The sequence below is a fragment of the Homo sapiens genome, chromosome 2 (assembly GCF_000001405.40).
Source record: "Homo sapiens chromosome 2, GRCh38.p14 Primary Assembly".
Taxonomy (NCBI): Eukaryota; Metazoa; Chordata; class Mammalia; order Primates; family Hominidae; genus Homo; species Homo sapiens.
Window position 1 is genome coordinate 31,103,800 of NC_000002.12, and position 19,991 is coordinate 31,123,790.

At 41.2% G+C, this 19,991-nt stretch overlaps 1 protein-coding gene across 9 annotated transcripts in view, besides 1 other annotated feature; it reads right to left on the reverse strand.

The window, feature by feature from the left end:
* Nucleotides 1-19,991, reverse strand: part of GALNT14 (polypeptide N-acetylgalactosaminyltransferase 14) — a 251,659-nt gene that overhangs the window by 217,018 nt on the left and 14,650 nt on the right. For 4 of the 9 annotated variants that reach the window (NM_001253826.2, NM_001329096.2, XM_047445827.1 and 1 more), the window contains exon 3: nucleotides 10,944-11,028. The exons of the other annotated variants lie outside the window; for them this stretch is intronic. In NM_001253826.2, coding sequence (NP_001240755.1) covers nucleotides 10,944-11,028 — 85 coding nt within the window. The remainder of the gene's footprint in view (nucleotides 1-10,943; nucleotides 11,029-19,991) is intronic. 9 annotated transcript variants of the gene reach the window in all.
* Nucleotides 3,758-4,259: an enhancer, noted in NCBI's record as "NANOG hESC enhancer chr2:31330423-31330924 (GRCh37/hg19 assembly coordinates)". NCBI's record gives its function as "activates a minimal SCP1, AML or CMV promoter by ChIP-STARR-seq in primed H9 embryonic stem cells {active_cell/tissue: H9 hESC(primed)}" and the evidence as "EXISTENCE:reporter gene assay evidence [ECO:0000049][PMID:30033119]".

The following is a 19,991-nucleotide window of genomic DNA, read 5'->3' on the forward strand; positions in this document are numbered from 1 at the left end:
CCTCATACTTGTCTTACTTTTAGTTTTAGTTTAGTTTTACAGTTAAAAATATTCAATGCTCACCCTCCATCTTCACTTTGTTGACTGAAGTTCACCCTCTACTAATTTGTTCAGGAAGGGCTCATGGGAACAATATTCCCTGAGTTATTGCATGTCCAAAAATTGTCTTACAATTGTCTTTGTACTTAAAAGATGGCTAGAATGGATATAAATCGTTGGCTCACACTTTCTTTCTTTGCTTATCTTGTAGATGTTGTTTCGCTGTCTTCTGGGTATTTGGAAGTTGCTGCAGAAAAAACTGTGGCCAACCTGGTATTTTTCTCCTCATAAGTGACTTGATCTCTTTGCCTGGATTCCCAATGGAGTCTTTCTTTCTGTCTCTCTTTTTATTTATTGTTTACTTCACCATTCTTTATTAATTTTGAAGTCATTTCAAACCTAAAGAAAAGTTGTAAGAACAGTACAAATTCTTACACCTCCTCCACACAAATCCTCTAGATGGTGACATTTTATATTTTGCTATATTTTCCCCATTTTTGTAGAGACAGAAGATAGAAACAGATATACATTTTTGTTCACATGTTCCCATCATCTCTAAATACTCCAGTGCATGCCTCCCAAAGACAAGGACCCTTCTCCTATATAGTCACCATACAGCACTCCTTGTCAAAAAATCAACAATGATACAGCACAGACCCAGTCCACAGATCCTATGCGAATTTCTGAAATATCCCAACAATGTCTCTTTTTCACTTCCAGGTCCAGGATCCTATCTACCAACACATGTTGCATTTAGTTGTCATCTCTCATCAGTCTCATCCAGTCTGGAGGAATTCCTCAGTCTTTCTCTGTTTCTCAAATCTTTGAAAGTCTGAAACAGTACAGACCTTTCCTTCTGTAGAGCCTGTGTCCATCTGATGTTTCCTCACAACCAGATACAAGCCATGCATTCTTGGCACAACAGAAATGATGCTGTGTTCTTCTCAGCCCATCACATCCAGGGGCACACTAGCTCAACCTGTCCACCACTAGTGATGTTAACCTTCATCATCTGGTCAAGTTGGTGTCTGCCAAATTTTGCCACTGAAATTTTACCATGTTTCCATGTTATTTGGTTACACTTTTGTGGGAAGCTTTACTAATATTGTGCCAATATGCTATTTCTTATGAAACCTCCACCCACAGGACAGCACCCATCAGCAACTACCAATCTCTACCAATTACCACAGTTACGGTGACCAAGTGGTGAATATGTATCTCCATCATTCTCTCTACATTTATCAGTTGTCATTTTTCGGTAAGGAAGAGTCTCTTCTCTTGCACTTACTTATTTACTTGTCTATGTATCTATTCATTCACTTATTTATAACAGTATGGATTTACAGATTCCTATTTTATTCAATAGGTTGTAATCTAATACTCTGATTATTTGATATTTACTTTGATGCTCATATTGTTCTCAATTGGTCAGTGGAAAGTCCTTCAAGCCAGCTCCTGTGTCCTTTTGACACATCCCCATCTTTTCTTGAGCATTTCCTGACTTTCTGGCAAGACAAGGTCTTTCAGGTTCATTTTATACTTTTTCTGCCCTATCCCTTAAGTTAGCCACTTCTCTGAGGCCCCCTGGTAACTTGCAGTGTAGGGCACTATTTAGAAACCAAGATCTCTGTAATCCCAGCACTTTGGGAGGCCAAGGCAGCCAGACCACTTGAGGTCAGGAGTTCGAGACCAGCCTGGCCAACATGGTAAAACCCCATCTCTACTAAAAATACAAAAATTAGCCAGGTGTGGTGGCCCATGCCTGTAATCCCACCTATTTGGGAGGCTGAGGCAAAAGAATCGCTTGAACCTGGAGGCAGAGGTTACAGTGAGCCAAGATCATACCACTGTACTCCAGTCTGAGTGACAGAACAAGACCCTGTCTCAAAAAAAAAAGAAAAAGAAAAAAAGAAACCAAGGTCTGAGTACTCACCATGCACTCATTGCTACTGGAGTTCCACTGCTTTCGGACGAAGGAGTTAAGAAAAAAATGTATGTATATATGTACATACTGACACTTCTAATTCCAATCCAGCATGCTAGGACTTTTCTAGCCTTCCTTCTTTCCATGTTTAGAAATCCCCTTTCAAACAGTAAAAAACACGGTTCCTATTATCCTCTTTATATTTATTTACTTGCTCAATAAATTATCCTTTCTCTTAACCAATCTTCCAACCATTCTAGCCATGTCCCCTGCCCACCACCTCCACACCCACTTTTCTACCCTGCTTTCATAGAAGGAAAAGGAGGCAAGGGGAGGGGAGGGGTTATTCCCTATCTTTCGTGTCTAAAACTTCCCAAGGCTATAATCTTGGTATGAGCTGTTCTGGATAATTTTGCCCAACACCCAAATTCGTGCTCTTTCAACATTTAGATTTAAGTCTTCTTTTAGATCATGAAAGCCTTCCTAATATTTTAAATATGTTCCATTGTGTGTGTTTTCTGTGTGTCTATTTTTTATGTCTGTTATTTTTTGTTTTCTTTCAAGAACTAAAATTATGCTTCTGCTGGCTCTCCACTGCCTGTCTTCTATGTCAATCATTTTCTCTCTAATCTTTATTAATGCTTCCCTTATTTATGTTTCATTTATTCACCTTTCATCTATGTTCCACACTGCATTTTCCACAGTGTCTATTTTCCCTTGAGATTCTTCCAACTTCATCTTCATTTCTGAGACCAATTTGCCTTTTTTTCTTTTATTTCCTCCTTGAGTTCTGCCAGCTCACATTTCACCACCTCTTGCCATTTTGTCATCCTTTCCCAAGCATTTACCTCTGCAAGTTGGGTCTTTCTTCACAGAAATGATTGCTTTGTTGAGTTCTTTAAATTCACTGTGAAATACTTGATTAGACTTTTCATCTGCTCCCTGAAATTATTTTCCTGGGAATGTTCCTTATTTGGGGGTAATTTTCGTGGCTCTTGCTGACATTCTTCCCCCTAATATCATTGCTTCTAATCTACCAATGATCCTACTTTCTTTTTTATTACTTATTGTTGTATGAGATGGGCTTTCTTGGATCATTTCTTTGCAGGAAGTTCTGAGGATGGAAGGAGGGCCCAGGGTAGACTTTCATTACTGAAGTAAGCTTTCTTTGTGGAGGAGAGCTAATGACTAGAAAGAGGCACATGGAGATTTCTGGGCTGCTGAAAAGATTCTGTACCTTGATCTGAATAGTGGTTACACAAAAGTTTATCAAACTGAAAAATATTTGTGTGCTTTCCTGTATGTTATATCTCAACAAACATGTTAAGGAAGGAAAGAAGGAAGCCTCTTTTATTTGCTGCCAAAAACATTGTTTCTTGCAGTTAGGTGTCTTCTGGATGATCCTTTGTATAAATGCACCTCCTCTGCTTCTCTGAATCAAAGCAGGCCCAGGAGGTACGTTTCTTCAGTTTTGCTCACCCTAGTCCTTATTTGCGTTGATTACAAATAAGAGATGTTGCTTTGCCTCTTCAGGATGCCCCTTATATCCAGGATGTGTATTTTTTCTGGCACTCTTTGCCACCTGCTATTCCTGAGCCCACCAGGTACTCTCCTAAACCTCTACTTCCCCCTCATGGCCTCTCCCAAACCCTCCTGCTCAGGACAGCCCTTGCACACATTACACATTCCACAGATTGTATCTATCCTCTAATTCCACTGAAAATGGCATTTCGGAGTTTTCTATTGTTCTCTTTGCTGTTGTGTCCAGCAACAAGGAGACTGTAATGGTATCCAGGAGGAAGAGCAGAAGAGGTTGTCTTGTACAGCAGCCACATTATACAGGAAGTCCTATTTGCCTATTCCACTGATTCACCACTACATCTCAAACGAGTCACCTCTTGAGACTCAGTCTCTCTATTAGCAGAATGGGAAGGAAAAAAATGCTGTCCTTCTCATTAGCTTCTTCTTATCAAAGAACAGTAGGGAAGGCACAGACATGAGGCCAAGTCTGTTTGCCATTATGAAGGGTTTCCTAAACGTCAAGCAACATGGTGCTTTCCATGGTGCTGATGATTTCACCTCGGTCCTGTTTCTCCTTTAACTTTCCCCTAAAGCTTGAGGGCTGCTCTCCCATAGACCATCAGCCAAAAAAACAGCTGATTCTTTAGGACTAGGATCTTACCCCACACCTCAGACTCTCACCACCTCCCCAGCAACCCACACACTCACGCTGAAACACACAGCAGATTCTTCAAAATACCAATTAGCTAGCTGTCCTGTCTCATATCTCTGGCTGGCTGCAAAAGTAGCAGTAAGAACACGCCACTACTTGGCACCATCTGCCTGGCTGTGAGCAAACATAGGCTCCCCAGCCAGGCAGTGTAATTCAGGAAATACCAAGGCCAGACTCCTGCCTCTGACCCCACATGAACCCTGAAGTTTCAGGCTACAGATGGACAACATCAAATCACCAGGGCCCCAGGACTCCACCATCACTACATCAGTCACAAATATTGCCCTTACTAATAGAAGTGGCAGATGGAAACATAAATTCTTCAAAAGCAATTTGCTTGCCAAGGACTAAGGAACGTATGAATGAAGTGTGAACAGTAAGTTTTTTCCGAGTTAGGGAGGCTGGACACGTCACCCGCTCAATTACACAGGCGGGCTCTAGAAGACCTAACCCAGTTTAATTTTCCATCAGGCTGAAAACATCTCTAGCTGACTTAAAGGCAAACACAAGGGTTTGTTCTCTCTTCCCTATGCTACTCCTTCAAGGAAGGCCCAGATCTTCAAGAGCAAAATGCAAGAAAGGTAACACTGGTTGGAGCATTGGGCATTCGGTTTTTCCAAAAGAATGAGGATAAAAACAATCCTTTGATAAAATAATCCTTTGAAATCATATGCCCTTTTTCAGAAGACTCTGTAGCACACAAACAGTGTCCTTGGGGAATGAGGACTATATAAGCATTAATCATATGCATGCTCTGTGATGGCTGTCATGGCTGGAGGGTCTAGCAGGCACCCAGCATTCCTGTCGGCAGCTCCCTGCTCCCTACTGAGCTTTGGATTTTACAAAGGCAAGCACAGCACAGGTTGGAACAGGCAGACTGAAAAGAGCTTGGACTATGGGCATAGAAGTCAGGTTCTAAGTAAGTTCTGCCATTAACCAGCTGATACTCTTGAGAAAGTAACTTCCTCTCCCTAGTCTCAACATCAACCACGGAGAGGGCAAGTAGACCTGATCAACTCAAAGGCTTCTAACCTCAACAAGTGAGGATTCTGGTTAACCTCTTGCTCAGCACAGCTGTTATCTCATTCCCAGATTCCAACCCCTAACACCATAAAGGGAGGCCTTGTGCTTGGTGAATCAGCTGCCACTTCACCCAGGCCTGGAATGCAGCTGTTAGTTACTGTGGCCAAATGCAGCCATTACTTCAAAACCAACAGCAGTGGCAAATGGCAGAGAAAATAAAATTCAGCAAACTCTCACTGCAAAACCAAGACAGCAGATGAAAGAGTGGAGGAAGTGACTGCCTATGTAACATTTCTCTGAATTGCCCACCTTTTACTTCTCCACGAGAAACAGATAACAGAAGGAAGCCACCCATTGAGTTGGAAAATGCCTCATCCCTTGTTCTCAGATGAATTCAGGCTGCTAATAGCACTGATACTTTTAGAAAACTAAAGACAAGGAATGTCTGGCTTAAAAGGAGTCTGTCAGAATGTGAAATGATGCTCCCTTTCCTTCCTTGAGAGTATAAACTGGCTTGGCTCGAATTATGTCTAATTAGGATGCAGTGAAAATGAAATACACATAAACACACAGACATAGAGACACTCACACAGGAACTGGCCCCACCGTCCTGCGGCAGTGCGGACAGATTGTAATGGACGCGATGTGGTACAATCATTAAACATCTCTCTAGCTTATTTGCGTGCAGTGTGTCTCAATAATGTGTTATGAGGTGTGTTTGTAATTGGCTACTGCTGATAGTGGTCCTTGAAAGGGAAATGGAGTGTGTCTAAATGCAGACAAAGCTACTTAGCGCGCCAGGACAAGATGAGATGCTCCTCACAAGGTCCAAATGGGATACTCAGGGCTTCTTCCACCCATAGCTTGGGAGAGAGAAAAAGGAATAATCTGTCTCAATTTTCTCAGCTCCAGAAACAATATTTATAAAATAGAAGGTGATTTCAGAGCTCATTTATTTTCCTGGTTCACAGTCCCCACTCTCTGCTGACATCATTTTCTAACCAATTTTATTTCCAACAATCACAGGAACAGCCTCAATTCTACTTGAAATCGTTAAAAACAAATCCATTCTTTCCTTGTCTTTGAGCCTCATCTTTCAAAAACTGGTTTAATTTCTATACTGCCTTTCTTTGAAAAAATATTCCAGGCCTCCGAATAGCCACACCAGATCCTTCCTTCTCCCTTTCTTACCTCCTAAATCCGTGTATTATAAATGCAGAGAGCACACAGCTTCCTCCGGACCCTTGTTTCTACGCACTCTATTCACTATTCTCTGGCTAAGCACATCAATGGTTGTCCCACCTGTAGACAATGAGTGATTCCAAAGGCTATGACTTCCAAACACTAGGCACCTTAGAAACTGAATAAGCCGAAGATTTAAAAAGTCACAGAAAGAAAGAATCACCTTTCTTACCCAGAAGGCAACCTCCAATGAGCAAAATCAGAGCCTACCAAGAAATACCAAGCATGGTGCTGGCTTGCATGAAGACTGTGGCCATATCCTGGCACAGCAGCCACTTAGAGCACTAGGGAAGAGAATGGCAGCAAATGGGCGAGATGTCAGCCTTCCTATGTCCTTCCCTGACCTCCCAGGGAAACAACCACAGGAAAGAAGAACCAAGGTTCACACGGCATGCTTGGTTCTTGGGCAAGCCATGCCTGCCCTGTAGCAATCACCACAATTTTTTTTTCTAAGTGCTCAGAAAACCATCTGTTCTAAAACTGGGGGGAATTAATGTAAAGCTGATTGGTCTTTTTCTCTGAGTGGGAGAAACTGACTCTGTGACACGTATTATCAACTCTCACACAGGCACTAGATTCACGTGAAACCATTCTTAAAAGTCAGATTTTTTAAAGCTATAACTCATCCTGACTCAGATGGGTTGAGAAAAATGGTGGGAACTTGAACTCTAACTCCAAATCTCTGAATGATTTGGGAGTCAAGTATTCTGGTCTTCCCTCAATCAGGTACCCCACTTGTAAGACAGAGTTAGACACACTGTCTCCTACCCCTATGGTTGTTCAGCAGAGCTAGAGGATTTAAAACAACAGGCACTCTGGCCTCTCAAAGACAGCAGCTGGAATGAGGCAGAGAACACAATCCTCCCTGCTGCAGCTGTGAAGCCCCAGCAGACTACCCAGGATGCAGATGGGGGCTGCTACCTGTTGAGCTACCCAGCCTGCAGGGCACAAGCCTGCAGGGATCAAGGACAAAGACCCAGGGATTCTTCATCAGCAAGCTTCAATGACACCAGGACAGGGACCTTCCGGGGTGGCTAGCCTGCAGGACTTCGCAAGTCTCCAGGCAAAAGGGCCAGGGCTTAGGCTTCGTTGCCATAATGCTGAGCACAGCACTGGACACACAGCAGATGTTTGCTAAACATTTGTGAAATCTAATTTGTTCACTGAATCAACAACAGGAAAGCCAAAAGGCAGAGGCAGGGAGGACTAACTGCTTATTTACCAGGCTGGTTTAACTAGGGATACTTTCCTATAAGCCCCCTGTGTGGCTTTTACCCATGGCTTTAAACTACAACCCATTAAGCAGAAAATAAACTATAACAAACCACCACAAATTGCAAAAAAAGCTCAGCCCTGAACCCACCCTTATAGGGAGTCCTGGCGTCATCGCTATGACAGTCTGACATGCATCATCCCTTTTCAGCCTTTTAAAGCTTTTTACCTTTTAAAATAAAGTGAGATGCTGCAGGTAAACAGACATTTGCTTAAAACATTTTTTTTTTCACACAAAGGTCCTTATCCGATGTTAGTCATATTTTTCTATGCAAGATGAATTTCAATTTGATCCTTTCCTCCTTTTACTACATCTTGTTTGCTTCTTTTTCATATTTTATTTATTTTTTGATGTTTTAAATAGGCCATCAGAAGTACGGTCACCAACAGGACAGTCCTACAGACAGCTGTTGCCTCTAGTGATGGGGCTGGATGCCTTCTCCCACTAAAACTGTGTACTTGCTTTTTTTTTTTTTTTTCTTTGTATCCCTCCTTGTTCCATTGAGGACCCTCCAAAGTCTGGGAACTGAGCTCCCATTTCAATTGCCAATGCCATAAAAAACTGTCCCCTGGGAAAGGCTGGTGGTCACAGCTGTCTTTCTGCTCCTGCCCATGCAGCAGAAGTGTCTTCCAAAATGCCCCTCCCAGAGAGCAATGAGCCCAGCTCCAGGCACAGGAGAGCAAACAGCCAGTGGCTGCTTTCTTAGCCTAAGCACCGTGTGAACCAGTCCTGGACAAAAACCTGTGCTTGCCAACAACACTGGTACATCGGAGCCAACCTCCTGATCAGCTTGTGAGACGTCCCATAGCATTTACTGACCTCGTATTCATAGACCCTTAGCTTCTCAGAATCTCATTCCTCATGGTAAACTGTGAAAATGCTGCCTAACAAAAAGTCTTGGCTAAGATTACAGGAGATGTATGGGACAGCACCAGGCACACTGTTTGGTATGAAACACATGCTAAAAAATGAGGATCTCTCAAATCCCTCCTCATGACCCAATTATTGTTAGATGTCACGATCGTCAAAGAAAAAGGCCAACATCCATGACCTAGGTCATATTCCAGTCCTTCTCATTGGAAAGGATATTTGATGATAACATCTTGGCCAACTGATTTCCCAGTGAATCAGGATCCACTTTGTCCCCCATCCCCTGTATGACAAAGATCCACTATCATTGTCATGGGCCCACAGTCCCCTGCAGCCTGCCCTGACGTCACTTCAAACCTTCTCCTTGCTATCTCCAGATTCTCACTTTGATCCTCATGCTTCACCAAGTCCTCCTTTCTCATGTTATGGAATCTTATCCCCATGTGCTTCTGGAACTCTTACTTTGTGATGGATTAAACCTAGAAGTCCCCAAGTGATCCCAGTAAGGAAGTAATTCCAGTCTAGATGAATTAGGCCTCTGCAGCAGTGGTGTTATATGCAGCTACTAATAAAATTCTAGAAACACTTCCCAATGAATAAAATCCTTTCAAACTAACACTGAAACCCCTCTCTTAGACTGTGGCAGGATAGAGAAGTAAATGCAAGATAGAAACCTTCTCATTTTCCTTAGATTTCAAAGAAATCTAAATTTTAAAAGAATATTTGCTTGGAAGTTTCTATCATTCACTGTTGAAATTTCAGAAATTGATGAAGCAATTCTGGATAATGGTGGTTTGAATGTGCCCCTGCTGATAGCTAGTGGTGTCTCTCTCAGCACCAATTCAACTGCAGGGAGCCACTGAGAGCAGCACACAGGTGTGGAGTCTAAGCGAGACCTCAGGATCTGCCGGGCTGGGTGGAGAAGGTCATTGCAGGGTTGAGAGAGAGCCTGGAGAATGGCATCTAAGAACAGACACAGGAGCAAGATCAGTTGTCCCTGAATCCTGGGGAAAGCTTGGCCCAGAGTAGGAGAGGCCCCTGGGAGGAAGGCAACTCCAGTCGTCAAGAATGTTCTGAGGGGATCTCCTGTCTCTGTGGCCCAGAGGAAGGGATGGGAAGCTGAACAGGCCTACTGAGTCCTCTGTAGCCTGGAGCTAGGGTAGCTCAGGGTATTCCTTCTGGTGCTGCAAGGAACCAACAGCCTGGCTGGTGGTACTGCTCCTACAAGGTATAGGAGCTGAGACTGCAACACACTGACAGAGCAGGAGAATCATCATCTTGGACAAACACCACCACTTTAAGTTCAGTTCCCTTTCTAGCCTCATGCATTTTCAAGGAAATCACTTCTAACTACAAGCAGCCAAAAAGAGCAGACAGTAAAACACAAGTAAGACAACTCAGGCACAGAGGGAGGTGGGGGGAAAGTCTCTTGGGTAACTGCCAAATTTCACCCTCATACAATGGGCCCCAGTACAACAGTGGGCCTTAATAAGCACATTCCTTTCCCTTCAGGTGCACTAAGATAGGGAAGCTAAAAGCAGTGGGGATATGCCTGCAGCTGCAGAACAATGTATGGGAACAGACACACAACTCTCCCTCCCAGATAAGCACAACAAAGAGACACAAAAGCAGCCTAAGCCTCTAATAAACTCCCCCACCCTGAATCCTTAAAAACTCTTAGTCTGTAAAAGAATGTGCCTCTGACCTAACTGCACCAGAAGCTCTTCTCAGGTTTGTTTTCTCTAAAATAAACCTGTCTTAACTGACGAGCCACCTTTCGTGTTTCTTTCCTCTTTCTTTACTTCTTACACACATCACCATTCTCTGCTGACTTTGCCTGAAGGCAGCTGGTCCTAAGCTGCAACAAGTGGGAAAAAAAAAAAAAGCCACCCACAAAGAGGACCAGAAGCTGGAGACATGAGCAAACAAAACACTTAGAAGGAGAAGCTGTTGATGAAACAGAGCTGCTAAAGGAGACAAAGGGCAACTCAAACAAAAAATAATAATAGCACTTAACGGTATTCAATTACAGCACATGAACAAGAAAGACTTTCTGGGAATAAAAATCATGATTTTTCAAACTAAAAAGCTCAGCAGAGTAGTTGATGAAAAGGATGGTTGCTGTAGAGACCTAAATTAGCGGCTTAGAAGATCAAGTAGAAAAATACACACACGCACACACAAGAGCAAAAATACAAAGAAATAAAAATCAGGGGCAAAAAGAAATTTCGAGAACAGACTCTAAAAACCCAGCTTGTGAATAACAATAATCCCAGAAGGGGAAAAAGGAACAAATACAAAAGAGACAAGAATTTAACAAATGGAAGTAAAGAATTTACCTGACTTGAAGAAAGACCTGAGTCTGCAAATGGAACTGAGCTTCTTGCAAGAGACATGGGAAATGACATACAGCAAGGTGTCCTCCTAAGTCCCAAAGATAAGGAGAAAATGTCATGAGCTCCAAACAGAGAGAACAGGTAACTAACAAAGAAAAAGTATTATGACTTCAGTCATACACCATCTGCAAAACTGGAATCCAGAAGACAATGGAAAACCATCCAGGCCAGGCACAGTGGCTCATGCCTGTAATCCCAACACTTTAGGAGGCCGAGGCAGGAGGACCACTTGAGCCCAGGAGTTCAAGACCAGCCTGGGCAACCTAGCAAGACCCCATCTCTACTAAATAAATAAATAAAATTAGCCAGGCAGAGTGCCACATGTCTGTAGTCCTAACTACTTGGGAGGTTGAGGCAGGAAAGATCACTTGAGCCCAGGAGGTTGAGGTTGCAACGAGCTATCACCATGCCATTATACTCCAGACTGGGTGACAGAGCAAGACCCTGTTTCAAAAAAATTACAAAAAAAAAAATAATCCCAAACGAACCACAAAACCATCCATACATTGCCAAGTGTCCGAGGCAGATGTTATCCACCTGTCTAATTTGTAGAATATTTGCGGATACAAGAGTTCATAGAAAACATAACCCACATACCCTGTCTCAAGAAGATATTCTGATCAAAAAATAAATGAACTCAAACAAAAATCTCAAGATGGGTGAGATGAAAAGAAGAGAAAACAGAGGTGTGATGAACCTTGCAATCTGCACAGTTAAATCTAATTAGGTAATATTAAAGTGACTGGAAACAGGTAATGGAAGTGACAAATAAGAATACCTGAAAAAGAGGAGGGATTCTGCAAAGAAAATCTGAACATTTAGTTCTAGAAGTGTTAAATTATCTCAGCAAAGCCCAGTAATTAGGGGTAGTGGAAGGTAGGGTGAATAAAAGTCTTCTAAAGGCCCATCTGCCCACAGGGTATGCAAGTGTAAGGAAGAAAAAGTACTCATAAAAGGCTCAATTTACTAGGCTGCTGCCAGGCACAGTGGCTCACGCCTGTGAGGCAGGAGGATCACTCTAGGTGAGCCTGGGCAACATAGCAAGACCCTATTTTTAAAATAAAAAAAATTAATTAGCTGAGCATGGTGGTGCACAACTTAGTCCTAGCTACTTGAGAAACTGAAGCAGGAGGATCTTTTGGGCCCAGGAGTTTGAAGCTACAGTGAGCTATGACTGCACCACTGCACTCTACCCTGGGTGACAGAGAGACAGATCCTGTCTCCAAAATATATTTATTAGGATGATAATGAATGGGTGAGTAAAACATCCTGGCAGAAGGAGGGGCATGTAAAATCATCATTGATATCTTGATTGCATAGAAATATGCCTTCGAATGTCCTGGAAAGAAAGATAACAGTCAGCATAGATGGTATAGTAAGATGTCCAAATTAAAAAGGGAAAGAGAAATTGAAGTAGTAATTGGCCAAACCAGCAAAAGTAATAAAATGGAGAAAGATAAAAATAAAATAAATAGTATATATTCAATTATATCTACTATTTCACTAATTTTTATAAGCTGAACATTCTTATTAAAATACAAACATTATCAGATTGTATTGAAAAATAAAAATATGTATTCAGGTCAACAGAGAGTTATACGTAATTTATAAGAAACATTTTATGCCATAAAGAAAAATTAAAAATAGATGGTCAAATGCAAATGAAAACAAAGCAGGACAGACGATATTAACACCAGATAAGGTGAATGTTAAGGCACAATTTATTAAAATATAAATCACTAAGAACAAAACAAAATAGCACTAAAATATTATAAAGCCAAAACTCTTGATAGTAGGAGATTTTGATTAAAATAAAATTATAGTGTATGATTTCAGGATTGAACAGATCCAGTAGCTCAAAAAATGACATAAACCAAGAAAGACAAGGATAAGTTGAATCAAGAATATTTATCTAATACATATATATAGAGAGAACTATATAACCATCAAATAAAGAATATTTGGCCAGGCGTGGTAGCTCACACCTATAATTCCAGCACTTTGGGAGGCCGAGGCAGGCAGATCACCTGAGGTCAGGTGACCAGCCTCACCAACATGGAGAAACCTCATCTCTACTAAAAATACAAAATTAGCCAGGTGTGGGGCGCATGCCTGTAATCCCAGCTACCTGGGAGGCTGAGGCAGAAGAATCACTTGAACCCAAGAGGCAGAGGTTACAGAGAGCTGAGATCACGCCATTGCACTCCAGCCTGGGCAACAAGAGCGAAACTCTATCTCAGAAAAAAAAAATTAAAAAAAAGAATATTCAGGGGCTTTCTTTCATATGTCCAAAAGACACTTTAAATATTGATTATGTAATTGGCCATTAATAAAAACTTAAAAATTTTGAAAAGTAGAGATTTGATAGGCCACATTCTCATCTCATAATTCAATACAATCCAAAATTAAAAGTATCAAAAATCCTAAGGATTTTGAAATTGAGAAACATGCTCCTACCTGAGTAGCTCTTCAGACAAATAGAAAATCAAAATTAAAAATATAAATAGTCTAGTAAGAACTGAAGAGGAAGCCAGTCAAAATGTATGGGACACAGCAAAGGCTGGCTGCATGCAAAAGAAATGTACAACCCTATATGCCCTAATTATTTCTAAAACAGGAATATTCAAAAATAGAGAGCATTACTAGCAAGAAAAGTTAAAATTAATGACTACAAATGAAATGTAATAGGAAGGTACATAAATGCAAAAACTGGCTCTTTGAAAACATCTATAAGATGGAGTAGGTTTAAGAAAGGATAAAATATGTATGATTGGAAACGTGAATGGAGATATGACCATAGGTGTAGAACACAGAATTAGAAGACACTACTATGTGCAACTTTGGTAAAATTTTAAAACCTAAAAGACATGGGTTAATTTACTAACAAAATGGATACTACCCAAACTGACCAAAGAAGTAGTAGAAAACGTGAAAAGACCTGTTACCATATGCAATAGTGGAAGATAGGCTATGCTAACAAGCAGAAGTTCCTGCTTACACAGTAGTCTTGGGTAGGTGTTCTGGACAATAGGGAAGCTTTCTTCCATTCAGTTATTTAGAGACCAAAACATCTTACATCATGTGGCCCTGCCATCCCTAGAGTCTTGTCACCCACATTATCTGGCAGAAGGAGAAGAATATGGCAGATCGTGCATGGGAGGTTTTATAGTGTGGCCTATAAATAGAACCCATCATTTCTACTCCATTTTATTGGACCCAAGTTAGTTACATGCTACTTAAAGCAAGGGAGAATGTGAAATGCAATCTTGCTGTGTGCCCAAACAACGAGACATCAGAATTTGGTGAGTAATTAGACGTATCATGGCAGAGATAGAGAAGGTGACTAAAGGGCTACCATTGAAGAAGTCAATAGAACTAGATAATTTCACAGCTGAGTTTTATATGATCATTAAAGAATAAATCGGCGAAAGTTATTTAAACTATTCTCATCTGCTAAAAAACTTCCCTAATTCATTTTATCAAAGCAATACACACCTAAATCTAAAACCAAAGTACCAAAAAAAACTATAAACAAATCCAACTTATGAAAATAGATGTTAAAATTCCAAATAAATGTCAACAAATACAAGCCAGTAGCATAAATAAAAATAAACTGTAACTAAATAGAGTTCATTCCAGGAATGCAAGGATGATTCAAAACAAGAAAATCAAAATAAATCACTGCATCAATAAAAGAGAAATATGATTCAATCAAAAGATAAAAATCCAAAAAAACTAATAAAAACTCAAAGTAAATCAAGAATAAAACAAAAGTTAAAATGTGATATAGAATATCTAATAAAGGTGAGCAGTAAATAATGAACACTAAAGCCATTTGCATCAAAATCAAGAGAGTCCTTATACTGCCACGGCATTTAATTTTGAAAGTTCTCATGAATGCAACAAAATAAGACAATAAAATAGTCAAGATAAATCTCAAAAAGGAGAGACAAATTTTACTTATTTTGATAATGATGTGATTTTTATACTTAGGAAATTCAATAGACTAATTGAGAAGTAGCTACTGGATTTAATAAGAAAATTCTGGTAAAAAGTATGACATTGCCATAGTAAAAGACAAAGAGGTCCATGGAAAATGGAGTTCCCAGAACTAGAACCCAATATTTATGGGAAATTATATGACAAAGTGGTCTTTTAATTAGTGGGGGAAGTGATGGCTTATTTAATTAATGATGTTGACACAAATGACTATTCATTTTGGAAGAAAATACAGTTGAATCCCTACCTCAAACCTGACATAAAAATAAATCCCAGATGGACCTAAGATTTAAAAGTTTAAGAAAAAAAAATCATATAAAAGTGGAAATTTGGGATATTCTATGTACAATCTAGGACTTACGATGATCTTTTTAATCAAGACAGGGCATTCATGAGCTATTTTTTGAAAAGACATATTCGACTGTATTTTTCAAAGCCAAAAAGTTATATGGCAATATATACCATAAAGTCAACAGTATTAACAAATTAATCAGAAAAAAATCTGCAACATATATGACTAATAAAGAACTATCAATAACATGCAAAGAGCTCTTTTACTTGGCAACAAAAAGATAAACCGTACAGTAGAAAAATAGGGAGAGGATATGAATAGACCCCTCATAGAAGGGCAAGATCCTTACATGCAATAAACATATGAGAACATACTCAACCTCTCTGGTAATCAGAGGAATATAAAATTACAATTGGATCCCGTTTCATACTCTTTAGGTTGGCAAAACGAAAATGACGACATTTATACCAAAGAGGATGCTGGGGAAAGAGTACTCTCGTACTTTGCTAACGAAAATGTAGATTGTTTTACAAAGCAATCTTAAAATATACATAATATAAAAATTACAGACTCCTTTTGACTCAGAATTCCCACTCCTCAAAAGTTATACTTCAGAAGCAAAAGCTCTAACATGTAAGAATATGTGTACATAGATTATTTCAGCTCTGTCTGTAGCAACAAGAGATGAGAGATAAAGTGTATACCCATCAAATGGAAATAGCTGAATAAAATAAGTTACATCCACACTGCAGAATATTATGCAGTCATTAAAAATAATGAGCTAGGCCGGGCGCGGTGGCTCACGCCTGTAATCCCAGCACTTTGGGAGGCCGAGGCGGGCGGATCACGAGGTCAGGAGATCGAGACCATCCTGGCTAACAAGGTGAAACCCCGTCTCTACTAAAAATACAAAAAATTAGCCGGGCGTGGTAGCGGGCGCCTGTAGTCCCAGCTACTCGGGAGGCTGAGGCAGGAGAATGGCGTGAACCCGGGAGGCGGAGCTTGCAGTGAGCCGAGATCGCGCCACTGCACTCCAGCCTGGGCGACAGAGCGAGACTCCGTCTCAAAAAAAAAAAAAAAAAAAAAAAATAATGAGCTAGCTGACCAGTAGGATTTCTAGAATATATACTTAAGTAAAGAGAAGATGCAAAGTATATATAATGTGATCAATCTCTCACTCTCCTTTTTAATAACAACCAAAACAGATCTGTAAATGTTTATACATGTTTACAAACTGGTTACACAATGCAGAGAGAAAGCTATTGAAGTTCACATATCCAGATTCTTATGTTGCTTATCTCAAAGGGGGTGAAGCAGAGGGTGGTGAGTGAAAAGATAGATAAATAAGTTGCAGTGAGAAATATCACACAGACAATAGCCCATTTACGTAAATCATCCATTTTGATTTTCTCTCTACAACTTTTTTCAACGTATATATCTTGTTTTAAACAAATTAGTATCCTACCATGAACACATTTTTTTTTTAGACAGAGTCTCACTCTGTCGCCCAGGCTGGAGTGCAGTGCCACGATCTTGGCTCACTGCAACCTCTGCCTCCTGGGCTCAAGTGATTCTCCTGCCTCAGCCTCCTGAGTAGCTAGGACTACAGATGTGTGTGACCACGCCCAGCTAATTTTCGTATTTTTAGTAGAGACAGGGTTTCACTATGTTGGCCAGGCTGGTCTCAAACTCCTGACCTCTGGTGACCCACTGGCCTCGGCCCCCAAAGTGCTGGGATTACAGGCGTGAGCCACCACGCCCAGCCATGGACACAATTTTGAATCCTCTTTGTTTTAAACTTGGTGCATAATGAGTATATTTCCATGTCCACTGTGTTAGGACCATTCCTGGTTTAGTTTCCTAAGACAGCAATTTGGAAAGAGGTGCAGTGGATCAGCACACATCTCAAATAACATCTGCAAATCTGCCAGCCTCTGTGCTTGGTGTACACAAGAAAGAATTCTTCCAGGCCCTGGTCACATCAGCAGGGATGTCTTCACAGTTCACTTTCTCCAACCAATGTGCATGGACTCAGACCTTCTGAACTCGGGAGCCCAGCATGCCTGTCCAAGGGCATTCTAAGTGACTTTGGCCATGGCCCTGCCAAGGCTTCATCTGTAAGGAATCTAGACAGGCAAGATGACTTCCCCACAGGTAATTTCTCTAAGAGCAGCTACACAAATTAAAATTGAAAACAGGTGGTCGAGAAAAGCCAGAATCAAGCCTGGTGAGGAATACAGAACATACACAGCAACGCTCATTTAGGCCAGAAGGGTAAGAGAAAGGGAATGCCAAGTTCAAATTTCACTGAATTGCCCCTTTAAGAGCAATGGACATACTATAGACAATAAAACCCTTAAACCCAAAACATTTACTGAACAAAGTCCCCAGTGAGTGGAGTATAATATTCCCAACTGGGGAAATCTGACACACTCTGGTTTTAGAACAAAAATAAGCAAACGGCTTTATTTTTTAACTTTTCCGCAGTCTGGCCCACTCCTGGTTTCTATTCATCTCTAGTCACTCATGCTGAGTCCTGCCACCTTAGGAAGACCTCGCTGCCCACTGCCGCCCAATAATCTCCCTTTCTCTAAGCTCCCACAGAACCTGCCTCCTGTTCTACAGGAAGATCTCCTAGATTCAGTACTGTCCTAGATGGTGTTAGTCATGTCCCCTCAACTGCATCATAACATGGCGTAGAGGTGCTAGGATAATGGGATATTTGTTTGCATTTGTTCTCACTTCCATCTACCTCCCACTCCCACCTCTGCCCTGCCCCAACCCCTGACCTCAGCAGATAACCAAGATCCAAATGCTTCCTGGCTTCCAGGAAGATGGTATTCCTAAGCCTAAAGCAGAGATACCAGGAAATAGGCCATCTTCTATCATTTACAAAAGCCAGTGTTATTTGAAGGAATAAATAGCCCAGAGGGTGAAAAAAAGGGCAATGCCTTTGAGGACTAGAGAGAGAGGGAATTCCTCCAGCTTGGAAGGAGAATGGGATACAGCCAGTCCTGAGAGTGGTGGGTGTCCCAGAAGGTAGCAGAGCCCAATTAAAATGGCTGTGTGATGCCCCTAGGAAGGCCGGCCACTGGACACAGGGGGCTCCGGGTACCACAGGGAAGCCACTAGCCCGGGATAAGCAGAACGTGAAGGGCACAGTCAATGATGAAACAGCCGTGATGGTGATACCTGGAAGACTACAAGCTCTTCCCACATTACCTGGCATGGAGGAAGCCTCCAGAATCGCTGTGAAGCCGTGAGTAGAGGAATCCCCATCCCCACATGGGGGAATGGGAGCTTGGAATCGCATTTAACTCCAAGAAAATAAAGACAAGTGGCACTGAATGTAGAGCTGGTCTTGTGGAGTATGATTCACACAGGCTTTTCGTGAGCAAGCACATCATCTAATGCAGGGCTTCTCAAACTTTGATTGCACACAGATCACCTGGGGATCTTACTAAATGCAGACTTTGAATCAGTAGGTCTGAAATGGTCTGAGATTCTGCATTTCTAATGAATTATAAGAGACACTAACCCTTCTGGCCCATGAGCCACACTGAGAAACAAAACATCAGGGGTGTTTTCTATAAATTTTTTCTATACATTTTCTATAAATGTTTCTATAAACATTTTCTATAAATTTTTGTTTTCTATAAAAATATACAAATTATTTTCTATTTTTATTGTAAAGATCTAAGTTTTGTGGGTCACACAGTCTCCATCACAACTATTCAACTTGGCCATTGTAGCCTAAAAGCAACCATAGACAATTCGTAAAGGAATTCGGCTCCAATAAAACTTTATTGGGCCGGGTGCTGTGGCTTACGCCTGTAATCCCAGCACTTTGGGAGGCCGAGGCGGGCGGATCACGAGGTCAGGAGATCAAGACCATCCTGGCTAACACAGTGAAACCCTGTCTCTACTAAAAAATACAAAAAATTAGCCGGGCGGGGTGACGGGCACCTGTAGTCCCAGCTACTCGGGAGGCTGAGGTAGGAGGACGGCATGAACTCAGGAGGCGGAGCTTGCAGTGAGCCGAGGTGGCACCACTGCACTCCAGCCTGGGCAACAGAGCGAGACTCCATCTCAAAAAAAAAAAAAAAAAAAACTTTATTGATGGACCATGGAGTCTGAATTTCATGTATTAATAATTTTCATGTGTCATGAAATATTATTTTTCCTTGGAGTTTTTCTCTGATCATTTAAAACTATAAAAACCATTCTTAGCTCACAGGCCATACAAAAACAGTGGAGAAAGTAGGGGTTGCAGTTGATCCATAGGCTACCTGGTCCATGGTGCCCAAAACGTATAGAACCCACGACAGGTGTCCTCAACTGACTAAATAAAAGTGGGTTGCTCAGCCTATTCCCTATCCTGATGCTGGCTTTCCCTTCCTGTTATGCTTCCACTAGTGTTATGCTTTGAAACAGCAGATGCTTTGGGGACAAGTGGATTGCGGCAAATGCTTCTTTCAAAAAAATCACTAAAATGACTTTAAAAGACCTCCCTAAATCCTTCTTCTTCTAATAAGCAGCCCTGTGGAATAACAGTTTCCTATTTTAGTGAAACAGCTTTAAGGATGAGATTAAACTTCAACCACAGTTTTCTGAGCTAACGGAAGAGTGACATGATCAGGACAGGAAATTCAACCATGCAGAACAACGCCTGGTAAATTTAAAAGCAATTGTCTCAAACT